The sequence below is a fragment of the Homo sapiens genome, chromosome 17 (assembly GCF_000001405.40).
Source record: "Homo sapiens chromosome 17, GRCh38.p14 Primary Assembly".
Lineage (NCBI taxonomy): Eukaryota > Metazoa > Chordata > Mammalia > Primates > Hominidae > Homo > Homo sapiens.
Window position 1 is genome coordinate 38002062 of NC_000017.11, and position 14749 is coordinate 38016810.

General features: G+C 58.1%; 1 protein-coding gene across 8 annotated transcripts, besides 1 other annotated feature; it reads left to right on the plus strand.

Moving 5' to 3' along the window:
- The first annotated feature begins 260 nt into the window (after positions 1-260).
- TBC1D3D (TBC1 domain family member 3D) lies at positions 261-12847 on the plus strand. 8 transcript variants are annotated; one of them, XM_011524176.3, is made up of 14 exons: positions 1915-2070; positions 3499-3571; positions 3734-3819; positions 4920-5142; positions 5625-5705; positions 6149-6256; positions 6586-6695; positions 7944-7992; positions 8536-8656; positions 9370-9464; positions 9849-9914; positions 10378-10477; positions 10848-11000; positions 11964-12847. In XM_011524176.3, exons 2-14 carry the CDS (start codon positions 3500-3502, stop codon positions 12530-12532), a joined length of 1833 nt encoding a protein of 610 aa, XP_011522478.1. In that variant the 5' UTR covers positions 1915-2070; position 3499; the 3' UTR covers positions 12533-12847. The 8 variants fall into 8 exon arrangements, with proteins under 8 accessions (XP_047291049.1, XP_011522478.1, NP_001278394.1 ...); NM_001291465.2 differs by having other exon boundaries at positions 5103-5142; XM_047435093.1 differs by having other exon boundaries at positions 261-3571; positions 5103-5142.
- Positions 10540-11041: an enhancer, noted in NCBI's record as "H3K4me1 hESC enhancer chr17:36339535-36340036 (GRCh37/hg19 assembly coordinates)". NCBI's record gives its function as "activates a minimal SCP1, AML or CMV promoter by ChIP-STARR-seq in primed H9 embryonic stem cells {active_cell/tissue: H9 hESC(primed)}" and the evidence as "EXISTENCE:reporter gene assay evidence [ECO:0000049][PMID:30033119]".
- Positions 12848-14749: the final 1902 nt, after the last annotated feature.

A 14749-nucleotide genomic window follows, 5' to 3' on the forward strand; every position in this document is an offset into this window, starting at 1 on the left:
ATCACCTGATGTCAGGAGTTCAAGACCAGCCTGGCCAACATGGTGAAACCCTGTCTCTACTAAAAATACAAAATTAGCCAGGCGTGGTGGTGCATGCCTGTAATCCCAGCTACTAGGGAGGCTGAGGCAGGAGAACTGCCTGAACCCGGGAGGCAGAGGTTGCAGTGAGCCGAGATTGTGCCACTGCACAATCTCCCTCCTGCCATCTTGTGAAGAAGGTGCCTGCTTCCCCTTCCCCTTCTGCCATGATTGTAAGTTTCCGGAACTGCAAGTCAATTAAGCCTGTTTCCTTTATAAATTACCCAATCTCAGGTATTTCTTTACATCAGTGTGAAAACAAATGAATACAGTCCCCTTCCCTGAGGTGCCTTCTCCTTAGGCAACCAGCTGCCCCCATGCTCCTCTTCTGCCCCCCTGGTATTTCCTTTCCCCTCATGAGGCCCAAGTGATCCACATGGCCAGCCACAGCCCCATCCTACTGCAGGCCTGTGTGGCTGCTAGAGAGGCCAGGCTCCTTTCCGCACCCCGAGGCTGCCCGATATGCTTTCTGCATCCTGTAGAAAACTGACCCACTATTCTCATACTGGTGCAACTTCTTCCATTACCTCAAAACTGGACAACGTGAACTTGTTTCTTGTCTCTTCTTGCTAGGGCTGTCACTGGGACAGTCCGAGATGGGGGGGTGGGGGGAGACAATGGATGAATGGATGGATGAATGGACAGTAGTCCAGGGAGATGTCCCTGTGTGTCCTGAACTGGGACCTTCCTCCAATGAGAAGCCTTCCTGAGTGAGTTTATACAGTCATCCCTTGGTATCCATGGATTAGTTCTAGGGTCCCCGGGGATGCCAAAATCCATGGATCCTCAAGTCTCTGACATAACATGGCCTAGTATTTACATATCAGCTATGCACATCCTCCCGTAGACATTAGACCATCTCTGGATTATTCATGATGTGTAATACAATGCAGATGCTACATAAATGGTCGTGATACTGGATTCTTTAGGGAATAATGACAAGAACAAACTCTGCACATGTTCAATAGAAACATAACCGTCCAATTTATTTTCTGAATATTTTCCATCTGCTGTTGCTGAATCTACAGATGCAGAGCTCCTGGATACGAGAGCCAAGTGTGCTTTGAGAGTAGGGTGGGTGAGGTTGCTAATGAGTACAGGGGAGCAGGTGTTGATCAGGAGGACCCTGCACTGGGGCATCTGGACGTCCTGCCTCAGGACTTGAGACTCCAGTTGGATGGCACAGGCAGACTCAGCCCAGGTCAAAGCCGTCCCCTTGAAGTTTCTTTTTATCCCAAGCTCTTTCTGGCCCCTGGAATTTGGCATCCCCTAGGCCCTGTGTGGAAGGACAGATGAACCAGGTTTTAGATAACATGTCTAGAAGAGTGAGCCCCTAACTGTGTGCCCGGCACTTTCCCCACAGGATCCTCTAGCTAGAATATCCAAGGGTCATGGAGAGAAATACCCAGTTAAAATATCAGAAATGAAAAAGCGATACCATTAGAGACACTAAAAAGACCATTAGGTAATAGTACTAGCTTTTGTATTCTGAGATCCAACAGCAGCAGTCACTTCCCTCCACCGCTATGTGTATCCCAGGACCACCCTGGGCGGGGAGGGCTGAGGTTAGGGAGCAGCCATGGATGCTCTGATGCTGGCCCTGGGCCTCGGGGGTGACAGTGATGAGGAACTGGGTGCACACATGAGTGGGGCAGCCGGGCCTGGCCAGAGAAGCAGCACACACGTGCACAGATGTGTTTACCCACATACACATGTGCACGCACGTGCACAAACACATTGCAGGCAGGCATGTTGACGCCTCAGGCAGCGGAGGACCCTGACTCTGGGCGCTGCTGACCCGGGCAAGGCCCCACTGTGATTCGTGCCATGACCTCAGAATGTCACTGGTGCTTAGCACCTATCTGCTCTCTGGTCTGCCTCAGTGGTCTACAGCAGTTACACACAGGCAGTGGTATCTGTGAGCAGCTCTGTGGACTCAAAGGTTTTCTCCCTGAGAGGCACGACCCAGGCCAGCTGATTCATCAGAATCAGGTGAGCGTGACCTGCTCTCTTCCCTCCAGGCGGACTTGGGGGCAGTGGCTACGGTGCGGGCGGTGTTGGCCTCTGTGGGGCAGCTACCGAGGAGGGTCATCCCTGAGCACTCACCAGGCGCCCGTTCTACACTGCCCGTGTAGACGATTGGCTCTTTCGTCTCCATGGTGGCTTCGTAGAGTGGGTGCTGTTCCCAAATGTCCCCATTCGACAGATGAGACGTCTGGGGTCAGAGAGGCAGTAACCGGCCTGGGAATCCGGACATGACCCTGAGTTTTGCTCTCAGCCCTGCCGTGTGCTGTGCTGGAATTCAGGCCTGAACCCTGTGACCTCCCTGCCCTAGATCCCAAATCTGCCCAGGTTTCCCATCCCGATGGGGCAGAGCCTGGTCCTGGCAGAGCCACTGGTATAGAGCCACTGGTACAGATCCACTGACGGTCCTCAGAACACCTCTGTGCCCTAAGCTGGGTCCTGATGGTCGCTGTGGGCCCCACTGAACACACATGGTCCCTTGTCCGGGGGAGCCTGCTGCCCTTGGGCAGCTGTGGAAAATGAAGGAGCCCTGGAGGGCTGGCTGAGGGGAGACTATCTTCCCTTGTGTTCAAAGGGGTCCGGGCACTAGGGTTCTCCCCAGGTATTTCTTGCTCTGCGTGGTCCTCTTGAGGCCTCGCCCTCCTTTTGCCTCGAGTATTCCCAGGAGGGACGGTCCATCCAGCTGTTCTCCAGGACCAAGGACCCACTGTTCTTCCTCAGTGACCCAGGAAAATGAAGCCTCCTCCTGTTGGGACGGCTCAGAATGGTGGACTCCACAGTCCCTCCGCGAGAGACGTGGTTTCCATGCGTACAATAGATCTTTCTCATCCCCCAAACCCAACACCCTCCTGCTCAACAGGCGTTATTCCTAAAGTGGCTTCACTGTTCAGACTGAAGAGCCACGGTAGCCAAAGTGATGAGCGGAGTAGAACCGAGCAGTCGGGAGAGATCTTGTTCCCTGTAGGAAACTGGGCATCGCTGAGGCCCTGAGCATCCCAGGAGGCCGATTGCACAGAGACCTCTGGTCGCTGACCCCAGTCTGCCTCCACATCCCTGGAATAGCCCATCATGGGCCCTTCACCCTTGGCAGGTGGAAACCATTCAACCTGCTGGGGCCGGTGTGTCCCCATTTCATGGCATTGGGGGACAACAGGATTCTCTGTCTAGGTCCCACTGTACTCAAGTCCTTGGGAAGATGCCCACCCCTGCTTGGGACTTGAGACTCCAGAGACTGGAGCAGCTGTGGGCCACTGGGTCTGGCCCCTTTTTCCCTGGGGGCGGCGGTGGAATGGGGGTTACGCAGCCAGCCAGCATCTGGGAGCCCGGCGAGAGCGGTTCAGGTGTTCTCCGAAGCCGCCGCGTACGGTGTGACCTTTAGACAATTCTGTCTCACAGGATGGACGTGGTAGAGGTCGCGGGCAGTTGGTGGGCACAAGAGCGAGAGGACATCATTATGAAATACGAAAAGGTACAAGTCGGTCTGCTTCTTGGAGGGAGGCCTCTTCCAGTGTGCCCTGGTCAAAGGGTCCTGGGCTCCCTAGGAGCACAGGGCAGGGACGGGTGGCCAATGCCCCCAGGCCCTTGCACCCTTTACCTTGGACCCCTCACCAAGGCTCCCTCTGGGCTACAGGGACACCGAGCTGGGCTGCCAGAGGACAAGGGGCCTAAGCCTTTTCGAAGCTACAACAACAACGTCGATCATTTGGGGATTGTACAGTGAGTCCTCTGCACTCCCCTCACCCCTAAAGCACCTGTCTCAGCTCAGGGATGGGTTTGCTTTTAGAAAGGCCTTTCTGACGCAGGACATGTCTCACCAGGTCGGGTCAACCTCCTTTCCAGGGACAGAACTCCTCCCTGACTCCCCTGCAGGTCCAGCCCGAGGTTGTTAGGCCAGAGGTGTGGGGCCCATCTAGGGAGCCGGTGGGAATGGAGACTGGGCTAGGTCAGGCCCCTGGGCGCTCAGCAGTTCTGTCGGCAAGTGAGCACAAGAGGAGCGGGGCAGCCTGAGGGTCTGGCCCTGTCTACTTGGAGACAACCCCGGTGAGATGCAAGGGTTATGGCCACAGGGTGAGGAGACGCCTGGCCCAGCCTCAGGGCTGTTGTCCAGCAGGTCTCTGAGGGCCCACCTGCCCCTGTTCTCCCCCATTCCCCTAGAGCTACAGCCCTCACTGTCCCGTGAGGGGAAAAGGCATGGTGACAATGGGGGCTGTAGCCCTAGGAGAACGGGGGAGAAGATGGGCAGGGCCCCGTTCTGGGCATCTCACGGTGAGGCCAGGGAGGCAGCAGGGCTCGCGGCTAAAGACCTGGGTCTGGTGCTGGGAAGGGATCTGGGGCCGGGTAAGAGGAGCCCAGCCAGGAGCCCATCCCTCAGGGATCACAGGATGGAGAGACAGAGGATCCCTGGGGAGGTAGGGCGGGAGGGAGCTGACGAGCCGTGCCACTTCTGAAACGCAGGGTGTGTGGCTCGGGTGCAGGGAGAGGCAGGTGGATGCTGGGAGGTCAGAACCTGCAAGGGCCTTGGGGCTGTCAAGTGGGGTGGGCCCCTGGTGCAGCCAGAGTACACCGGGCAGGTCTCAGGGCAGGCTCCCTTGACCCTGGCGGGGGGATGTGGTCACTCCCTGAGGGACTCCTGTCAGGGCCCGGTCGCCCACCCTGGGCGGCCCCCATCCCATCTCAGGGCTAACCTTTCTCAGCTCCAGCAGAAAGCACCACCTCGAGTCCAGGACGGGCAGCCCCATTGGGCAGCCTGACCGCCCCCCACGCCAGGGGCCCCAGTAACCCCGGCCAGGCTGTCCCTACACTCCTTCTTCTCCCAGGTCCTGCCCCTCCTGGGAGTCAGCCCCACAGGAAGGCCCTTGTCCTCCCTTCCCTGTGCCTTCTCCTGGGCTGAGCCCTGAGCTGGAAAGGGACAGAGCCAGTCCTTTCTGGGGGTCGGCACCCAGGCTGGGGCCGCTCCAGGCCCCGTGCAGTTCCTCAGCTCTGCCTGGGTTGCCTTACAGTGAGACGGAGCTGCCTCCTCTGACTGCGCGGGAGGCGAAGGTAAGAGCCTGATGCGTGGAGGGGCTGGTCCAGGGACGTAGGGACTGGGCGGGTGGTCAGTGAGGCAGAGGAAGCAGCTGGCCTGAGCGGTGGCGGGTGAGGGCAACACGCTGTCACTGGGAGGGGCAGCAGTCCCTGCTGGACCTGACCCCAGGTTGCTGTTCACTTTGGCAGTTTGATAAAATTCCAAAAGGAGAACCACAGTCCTGGCTTGGGGGTGGCTGCGCGCTTGTGTCAGGACCCCACCTAGAGGCTGGGACCTAAGACTGGTGTGTCTGTGGCCTGAGGATGGTACATCCCGGGGTCCCAAAGCCAGCCCACTGGTGCTCATTTGCTCAAAGGCTCTCAGCCCTTGAGGTCTGCCCTTCCCTGGCTCCTTCCAGCTGGCTCCCACCAGGGCTCCAGAGCCCAAGACCCAGCATCCGCGGGCGGCTCTGGGAAGCCTGGCAGCTCCGCTAACTCCAACATGCCTCATTTGACAGCAAATTCGGCGGGAGATCAGCCGAAAGAGCAAGTGGGTGGATATGCTGGGAGACTGGGAGAAATACAAAAGCAGCAGAAAGGTAACGTGTGGAGGGAGGAAGCACTCTCTGCAGAGACAGGGGACAGGCACCCATGGCTGTGGCCTGGCACCATCAGCCTCTCAGAGGGTGGGCGGCACACTGTCCTCGCCCAGAGGACTGCAGGCCTGGTCGCCAGATTTCCTGCCTATTCGTGCAAGCGTCACCTTGCAGGGAGGGAATCTGAATCTAGGGCTGGGACTACCCGGAGCTCAAGGCTAGGGATGCCCTGGTGACCTGAAGGAAGGAAAAGGTTCAGATCAGAGTTTCGACTCTGAGTGTCCATCCACTCTTTCAGTCCTGGGAAGGGAGACCCTGTCCCAGCTTGATCTCACCTCTACTGAGGAATCATGGGGCCAAAACCGACAATTTCCAGAATCCCCGGGCTCTGGTCCTCACTGGGGTCACCCCGTGGCCTGTGACACCAGATCGTTTTCTGCCCACAGCTCATAGATCGAGCGTACAAGGGAATGCCCATGAACATCCGGGGCCCGATGTGGTCAGTCCTCCTGAACACTGAGGAAATGAAGTTGAAAAACCCCGGAAGATACCAGGTACGCTCAGCCAGAGCACAACAAACAGGACAGGCCGTGTCGGGGCCCAGGTCTCCAGCTGGAGGGAACGTCAAGACCACCCTGGGGAGCTGGGGGTGAAGGTCAGATGAACACCCTGGGCACAGATGGTGACACAGTCACCACAGACAAACTCAGCTCTGGTGACCCTCCCTGGCTTCAGTAACAAGCCAAAATGCAGCTTTCTGCAGAAGGAAACCTTCCTTCTGTCCTTCCTTCCCGAAGTGCTGACTGTGGGCTGACTGCCACTGGGGGCAGGGAGTCTTCCATCTGTTCTGAGACTGCTTCCTCCTCTTGGCCCTGCCCTACAGATCATGAAGGAGAAGGGCAAGAGGTCATCTGAGCACATCCAGCGCATCGACCGGGACGTAAGCGGGACATTAAGGAAGCATATATTCTTCAGGGATCGATACGGAACCAAGTAAGCCTACGGGAGCCACAGGGTCCCAGCAGAGATGGGGTGAATGAGAGGGATGGGGGCTTCCCCGGAGCAGAAGCCAGGGTCACCCAGGAGGGATGACACAGCTGCCAAGAGCTCTCCCGGCCCAGGGAGCAGCCGGCACCATGAACCGAGCACCTCCCTGGTTCCAAGCCCTGGGCCAGACTGGAACATGTGGGGCCAGAACCCAGGAGGATCCTGAGGAGATGGAAGGCAGCAAACAAAATCATGCACAATGGTGAAGGGTGCTCTCCCTGACCCATGGGGACCCATGGTAGGACCCACGGGAGGGTGGCAGGATAGAGGGCCCATGAGCCACCCCCAGGCAACAGTGACAGCACCAAATGCTGGGAGAATTAGGGGTCCTGGAAACTCTCATCCAGGTCCGCTGGGAACATGACATGGCACAGCCACGTTGGCAGCCCGTTGGGCAGTGGCTCACAAAGCTCGATGGACTTGAACCACACATCCCCAAAGTGTCACAGATATTGAACCCACTGATTTGCAAACTGACATCCACATGAAACCAGCATGCCAGGTTCACTGCTTGACTCCTCGTCACTCACACACGGAGCCTTCGGGGACGGCCTTCAACACGGGGATGGGGAGAGCAAGGCTGGTCCTCCCTTCAAACGGAAGACCCAGTGAGAAAAGGGAACGAGCCGGTGATGCCCGCACGAACGTGGGTGGATCCTAGATGCATTTTGCTGAGGGACAGAAGCCAGACCCAATAAGCTACCACAGTAGGATTCCCATTCCTAGGCCATTCTGGAAAAGGCCAAACCACAGGGACTGAGAAGCAGTCTGGGTGGCCAGGGGCTGACGGATCGGGGAGAGGCTGGGTGCATAGGGGCCACCCTGGAGACTTGGAGGATGAAGGAGTCGCCCCAGGAGGGGCTGGAGCGGTGGCCGGGAGACTCTGCACATCGGTTTGGAACCGTGGAGGAACTGTACACCCACAGACTGAACTGGCGTGTGTGCAAACTGAAAAAAAAAATCATTCAGAGTGAAAAGGATCAGGCAAGTCACTGTACAACTGGGCTATTTGCATGTCACAGATGTGGATTTTACTGAAACATTTCTTCAAGAGTCTCAGGCCCTGAAGAGCTCACTGCTTATCTGGTGAAACATCTGAACCTGAAATGGGATTTGCTGTTAGGCTTTGTAGACAAAGTGAAATTAACAACATCTGCACAAAACAAACCAAAGCCCCCTTTCTCTGTTTCCTAGGCAGCGGGAACTACTCCACATCCTCCTGGCATATGAGGAGTATAACCCGGTGAGTATTCCCGGCAGTGAGGTTCCCGGGCCATATTTCCATATTGACAGGAGTGGGTGTCTGGTGGGGGTGTCGTTGCTTCTTTTACAGTTAGTATTTGTGACCCACCAGGATATAGGAGGTAGGATGTCAGCTCACCGCTGGCATAAACCTCCAAGGAAGGGGGTGGTCTCAAGGGGTCAAGCTGAGACACAAAGGAGTCAGGGCCTGGACTCCTGGTGTCACCTGGGCCTGACCACCACTTCTCAGAACAAGAAATGACGCCCTCCTCCTGGGGCTGCCCCAAAGCCCAGGAGCTTGGCAGCATCGCACACAGGATGGTGCTATCAGCAGACATTTTGGACAAGGTGCTGAAGTGCCTGATGGACTTGGCTCTTGTCATGAAATGAATGTGCATCCTGAGGAAGCCTCTTTTTCAGAGGAAGCCTCTCCTTCAGAGGAAGCCTCTCCAGTCACCTCTGCCCTCTCCAATGACATGAGTCCTCCCAGGTGACCTCAGCCCTCCCAGGTGATGTCCTTCCATGGTGACTCTGGCTCTTGCAGGAGGTGGGCTACTGCAGGGACCTGAGCCACATCGCCGCCTTGTTCCTCCTCTATCTTCCTGAGGAGGATGCATTCTGGGCACTGGTGCAGCTGCTGGCCAGTGAGAGGCACTCCCTGCAGGGTAAGTGAACAGCTGCCCCGGGGACCTCCTGCAGCCAGACCTGGGGATGGCCACCCTGGCCAGGTGATCACAGCTTTCAGCCAAGGCACCCTCCTTGTGTCGCCAGCTTGTTGGGAGACTTTAGGATGTCTCTGCTGAGGGTCCCACAGGAGTCCACGGCTGACCCCCAAAGCCCAAATCAGACGCCTCTCATCCCCATCAGCAGAGGGCATCTCATCCTCCCCGTGGCCACCCTCTGTGTCCTGGAGCCACGCCCTCCGGCTCTGATTCTGTGCAGCTGACTCTCCCCTCCCTGAGAGTCCTCCTGCCCTCCAGCTGCCCGGGCTCCTGCTGCCATCGGTGCCCACGAATGGGCCGACCAAGCCCAGGTGGCAGCATCTCCCCATCCCCTGTTCCCTGGCCCGACCCCACTACCAGGAGATGACCGGGAAGCCCAGCGCCCACCCAGTTCCGGCCACCCTGTCGTGGCCTGAAAGTCAGGCTTGCCCTTTTTGCACCCTGGCCCAGGAGGCCTCCAGGGGAACCTCCAGCCAGGCTCCAGGGAATGTTCCCGCCCCACCTCCCCAGGGTAAAGGCCGCATGTTGGGGTCACCAGATGGGAGGGTGGGAGGCCTTGGGGTTTGGGGGCCTCTCCAGCTGCCCAGCTCTTGCAGCTGATGGCTCCACATCTTGGGGGAAGGCTCTGATTTCATGATGGGCTGGGGGCTTCTCAGGATTTCACAGCCCAAATGGCGGGACCGTCCAGGGGCTCCAAGACCAACAGGAGCATGTGGTAGCCACGTCACAACCCAAGACCATGGGGCATCAGGTGAGTTTATGGTCCCCTCAGCTCTTCCCAGAGGCCCTGCCTCCCGTGGGGCTGTAGGAGCAGGGGGGCTGGAGCCCCTCGTGGGGCTGGTGACTGGCTGAGTCCCAGCCAGGGCCTGACCTGGGACGTCGGGTTCTCCATGGGCTGGGAGTTGGTTTCCTTTCCTGCCCTGGAGGAGACAGAGGCACAGGGATGGGGGCCCAGCTCCCGCAGAGCAGGGCAAAGGGCAGTGTGTCCACCGGGAGTGTGGGAAGGTGACAGTGTTGTGGGGAGCTCTGGACACCGCCCAGTGTTCTGCACTAGGGGAAGGGTCTTCAGAGGCCCTGGAAGAGGGAGGTTTTTAGGGCAGCCCAGTGGCCTGAGCACCTCTGTTGCTTCCATCAGGACAAGAAAGATCTATGTGGGCAGTGTTCCCCGTTAGGCTGCCTCATCCGGATATTGATTGACGGGGTAAGGAGGCATAGGGAGACCCTGGCTCAGGGACCTTCCTTGCCCTGCAGTGCCCTGCTTCCCCAGCCCGGGGGTCTGGCTCACTCCCAGCCCACAGGAGGCTCAGGCGGGTCCCCAAAGGACACACAAGCAAAACCCTCTGCCCAAGGGGGGTCATCCCAGGGCCATGGCTGGGGCTCAGGCCCAGCCTCATGGGCAGACTGGGCCAGGACCCGACTTGAGAGGGCTCAGGGAAGCCTCAAGCCCTGGGCAAGCCCCTCTCTCCAGGAGCCACATCCCCACTCAAATGAGTGCCCCCCATGAGGAGCTTCAAGACCTTGTCTGACCCAGCGTCCTGGAGGGCTCAGGCGACCCTCATGGGGAAGGTCACTGACTCTGGAGACTGAAGCCCCAGTGTGCGCAGCTCGAGCCACCAGCCCCAGCCTGGAAGGACCAGGTTCTTTCACACCTGCTGTCCCCACAGATCTCTCTCGGGCTCACCCTGCGCCTGTGGGACGTGTATCTGGTAGAAGGCGAACAGGCGTTGATGCCGATAACAAGAATCGCCTTTAAGGTTCAGCAGAGTAAGTCTACGTGTGCCCAGCGGGGCCTGGGGAGCCCTGGGGTCAGACCCCGACTGGCCCGAGGGCAGCTTCCTCACACTGTCCTCATGATCCTCTGTTCTGGCCCAGAGGGAGGTCTGGCCAGGTGGGCTGGGCAGGACACTGTGACACCGAGCCCATCCCCCACATGACCCAGATGAAAGTCGAGAGTGTGGTGAGCACTTCCCTGTCCGGATCGCCCCCCAGCCACAGTCTCCTGTGTGTATCTGGACACCTGGGGTGGCCACAAAAGGATCCGGCACCGCCCAGTAGGAGACTGAAGTGGCCACGGGGTATGAGCTGTGACCATTCCCAGGTAACTCCCCTGGCCTGATATCCACCCTGTCCCTAGAGCGCCTCACGAAGACGTCCAGGTGTGGCCCGTGGGCACGTTTTTGCAACCGGTTCGTTGATACCTGGGCCAGGGATGAGGACACTGTGCTCAAGCATCTTAGGGCCTCTATGAAGAAACTAACAAGAAAGCAGGGGGACCTGCCACCCCCAGGTGGGCTCCAGTGCCATGTCCCCTCCCATGTCACCCTCTGGGGTAGTCAGTAGTAGGGGAGTGCCCGGGACCCGCAACCCTACTACCTGGGCCTTCCTCTTCACCTTTTCTTCCTCCTCTTCCTCCTGGACTCTAAGAAAGTACAGGAGGCCCACCGGTCCTCAGGGCAGGCGCTCAGTGCGTGTATACTGGACATGCTGTGCACGCAGGAGGGGGATGTGGGCAAGACCCTCCAACAAGCCCCCTCCCACTTTCCACGGTGTCTCCCTCTCCCCCTCGCAGGGCCCTCCAAGTTACTAGACGAGCCCAGACCCATTTGTGGGAGACCCCGCCCCTCCCTGCAAGCACCCACAGCCTCAGAGAGCAGCAGAGGCCCCTCACTCCTGCACGCTCCTCCAAGGTTGCCAGGACAAGAAGCCTGGAGCCAGGGAGACAAGGGAATCCGTGTCCCTGACCCACAGAGCATTCAGGGAGAGGGCCCAGAGCCAGAGCCAAGAGTTCAGCCAGAAGTGGGAACGGTCAGTCCTGGCATGGACTGGGCAGCCCAGGAGGGCAGAGGGTGACCCACGTCCGGGCCCAATCACCCACTGCGGAGACGGGTCCCCACGTGAGGTGACAAGGGGCTGGGTGACATCCAAGGCCCCTCCCACCTGAGTTCTGACTGGGGGCCGTATCCCAGGCCCAACAGCCCTGGGACGAAGGTGTGTGGCAGGAAGCCCCCAGCCAGTCTGAACCCTGGGGGCAGTCCCAGGAGCCACCCGCCATGCCACGACAGCTTCCCCACGCCAGGCAGCACGCACCCCTCCCTCTGGGATCAGCAGACTACAGGCGTGTCCTCGGTGTCAGGCCACGGGGGCCACACAGAGACCCCGAGGACTCCAGAGACGCAGGCAGGTGGGGCCCAGCCCGGAAAGGCCTGCGTGGGCTCACTGGAGATGCTGACCGCGTCTGTTTTCCTTTCAGCCAAACCCGAGCAAGGGTCGTCGGCATCCAGGCCTGTGCCGGCTTCACGTGGCGGGAAGACCCTCTGCAAGGGGGACAGGCAGGCCCCTCCAGGCCCACCAGCCCGGTTCCCGCGGCCCATTTGGTCAGCTTCCCCGCCACGGGCACCTCGTTCTTCCACACCCTGTCCTGGTGGGGCTGTCCGGGAAGACACCTACCCTGTGGGCACTCAGGGTGTGCCCAGCCCGGCCCTGGCTCAGGGAGGACCTCAGGGTTCCTGGAGATTCCTGCAGTGGAACTCCATGCCCCGCCTCCCAACGGACCTGGACGTAGAGGGCCCTTGGTTCCGCCATTATGATTTCAGACAGAGCTGCTGGGTCCGTGCCATATCCCAGGAGGACCAGCTGGCCCCCTGCTGGCAGGCTGAACACCCTGCGGAGCGGGTGAGATCGGCTTTCGCTGCACCCAGCACTGATTCCGACCAGGGCACCCCCTTCAGAGCTAGGGACGAACAGCAGTGTGCTCCCACCTCAGGGCCTTGCCTCTGCGGCCTCCACTTGGAAAGTTCTCAGTTCCCTCCAGGCTTCTAGAAGCATCTGGGCCAGGGCTCATGGCTGGATAATTTCCCTAGGCTTAACAACCCAAGCAAGCTTCGCATCCTCGTTTTATTTTTGGTTAAACTTATGAAAATGTATTAAGAAAGAGTGCAGCTCGAGAGAGATTCAGAGATGGAACACACCAGACCCCAGATCACAAAGCCAACCATGCCCGGCCCCTCCCAGCACCCCCAGCCCCACGACCATCGTTCTGAATTCTGACGACACCGTGAGCCTGCCTTTGTACTTCAAACTCATGGAAGGATAACCACCTTCATGTTTTGAAATAAATGTTTCCTGTTGAAATGATTTTAGATTTTAGACAGAAATATTGAAAAGGCACTATAGTATCCTCCTATACCTTCCATCCAGCTGCCCCTAATAATGATGTTTTGCAGTCCCATGGCACATAAGAAATTTAGGCCGGGTGTGGTGGCTCACACCTGTAATCCCAGCAATTTGAGAGGTCGAGGCGGGAGGTTCAGGTTCACTTGAGTCTAGAAGTCTGAGACCAGCCTGGGAAACCTAGGTGGACCCGGTCTCTAGAGAAAAGTCAAAGAAATTAGCCAGGCATGGTGGCGTGTGCCTATAGTCCCACCTAGTCAGGAGGCTGAGGCAGGAGGATTGCTGGAGCCCACGAGTTCCAGGAAGCAGTGAGCCATGATTGCACCACTGCACTCCAGCCTGGGTGACAGAGTGAGACTTTATCTCTTAAAAAAATTTAAGAAATTTAATGTGGGTACAGTTCTATTAACTAAATAATAATGTGAACTATTATCTAAGGTTATGAAGGCTAGAATTATCCCATTTTTGCCTAACTTCTCGTACCTGTCCCAAGATCCCACCTTGGACTCACCCTCTGCCTTCAGCTCACGTCTCTTCAGCTTCCTCCACATGGTCCAGCAAACACACACCTGGGCTGAATGGTAGAGCTGATCGCTCATACACAAAGGTAGACCGGTGGGCAGGGATTTTCAGACTTACACAGTCAATGAGTTTTCCTTGGTGTTCTGGAGAGCACCGTTTGAGAAACACTTTGACAGTGAATCTAGGCCTCAAGATCCATCAGCTGCTCTAGCTTGAATTTTGCTCAAGCTCAGTGAACACCTGCTCTGCCGGGTGCACGTGAAAGGGGCAAGGATGAGAAAGCTGTAGATAAAGAAGACAGGACGCAGGGGGTCTGTCTAAGCTCTATCCCCTGCCTTCAGCACTGAGGGATGAAATCCAACTCTTAGGGAACGGTGGCCACGTGCTGGGCCAGCCCCAGGCTCTCAGGATCTGACAGTGGGTGACGCAGAGCCAGGCCTTGCCCCTGGGGAGCTCTCCAGCATACACCTCCCTCTCCCCTCCCAGCGTGCCGCAAAGCAGGCGTCAACGCCATTGTTAATGCACGGAGGAGGAACCTGACTGTTAGACCTGGGTTTTCCAGGGTTGCACGGCTTCTGGGAGACGGATGTGACCCTGAGGACAGGGCACAGGCCAGTGTAATGCCAGGATGGAATGAGCTGTGATCTGTGCTGTATAGAGGCCTAGGCCAAGGTGGGACTGACGGATGACCAGGTCAGCCGGGTCACTGAAAACACTCTTGGGTCCTCACCTGCCGGTTCCCAGGAGTCCGGAACTGCCAGGAGAGTGGTGGCAGGTCCCCCATCCTCAGCTGGGTGGGCCTGGATAGAACAGCAAGGCGAGGGCACATTTCCCTGGCCATTCCCTCCAGGCACAGCCGTGACCTGTTCATTCCAAATTTGTGGAAGTATTTCCACACACACAGAACTGCAAATAGCAGTGGACGTGGTGAGAGGCGTTTGCACATGGGATAGGCAGGATTTTGGAGGCAGAGCCTCCAGGGCTTGCCGATGGGTTAGCTGCAGGGCTTGAGAGGGAACGGAGAATCCAGGATGATGTGTTCAAATCGGTCCATTCACCTCTTCCGTTCCACGCCTGTGCTGGGCACTGGGAGAGACAGATGCACACAGGAGCCCCGGCCGAGGGGAGGTGTGGGGGGAAGCCCAGAGTGTCTGGGCAGGGTAGGAAACCCAGAGCGTCTACTGGGAGCTGAAGGCTTAGGTCCACCTGGGTGCCGTCCAGGTTCTCTGCATGTAGAAGTATAGGCTGAGCTTCCCGGAGGAGGAGCAGCTGCTGTTGCTGGTGACCAGCACATTCAGGAACGGAGACTACTCTGTCAACAGACAGGGGGATGACCTGAGGTCT

Excerpts from the sequence above, each read along its gene's own strand:
- TBC1D3D (XM_011524176.3), top strand. The coding sequence starts at position 3,500 with ATGGACGTGGTAGAGGTCGCGGGCAGTTGGTGGGCACAAGAGCGAGAG. Across the intron at positions 3,820-4,919 it reads GATCATTTGGGGATTGTACA|GTCCTGCCCCTCCTGGGAGT; the intron begins GTGAGTCCTCTG and ends TTCTTCTCCCAG. Across the intron at positions 9,915-10,377 it reads TCCGGATATTGATTGACGGG|ATCTCTCTCGGGCTCACCCT; the intron begins GTAAGGAGGCAT and ends CTGTCCCCACAG.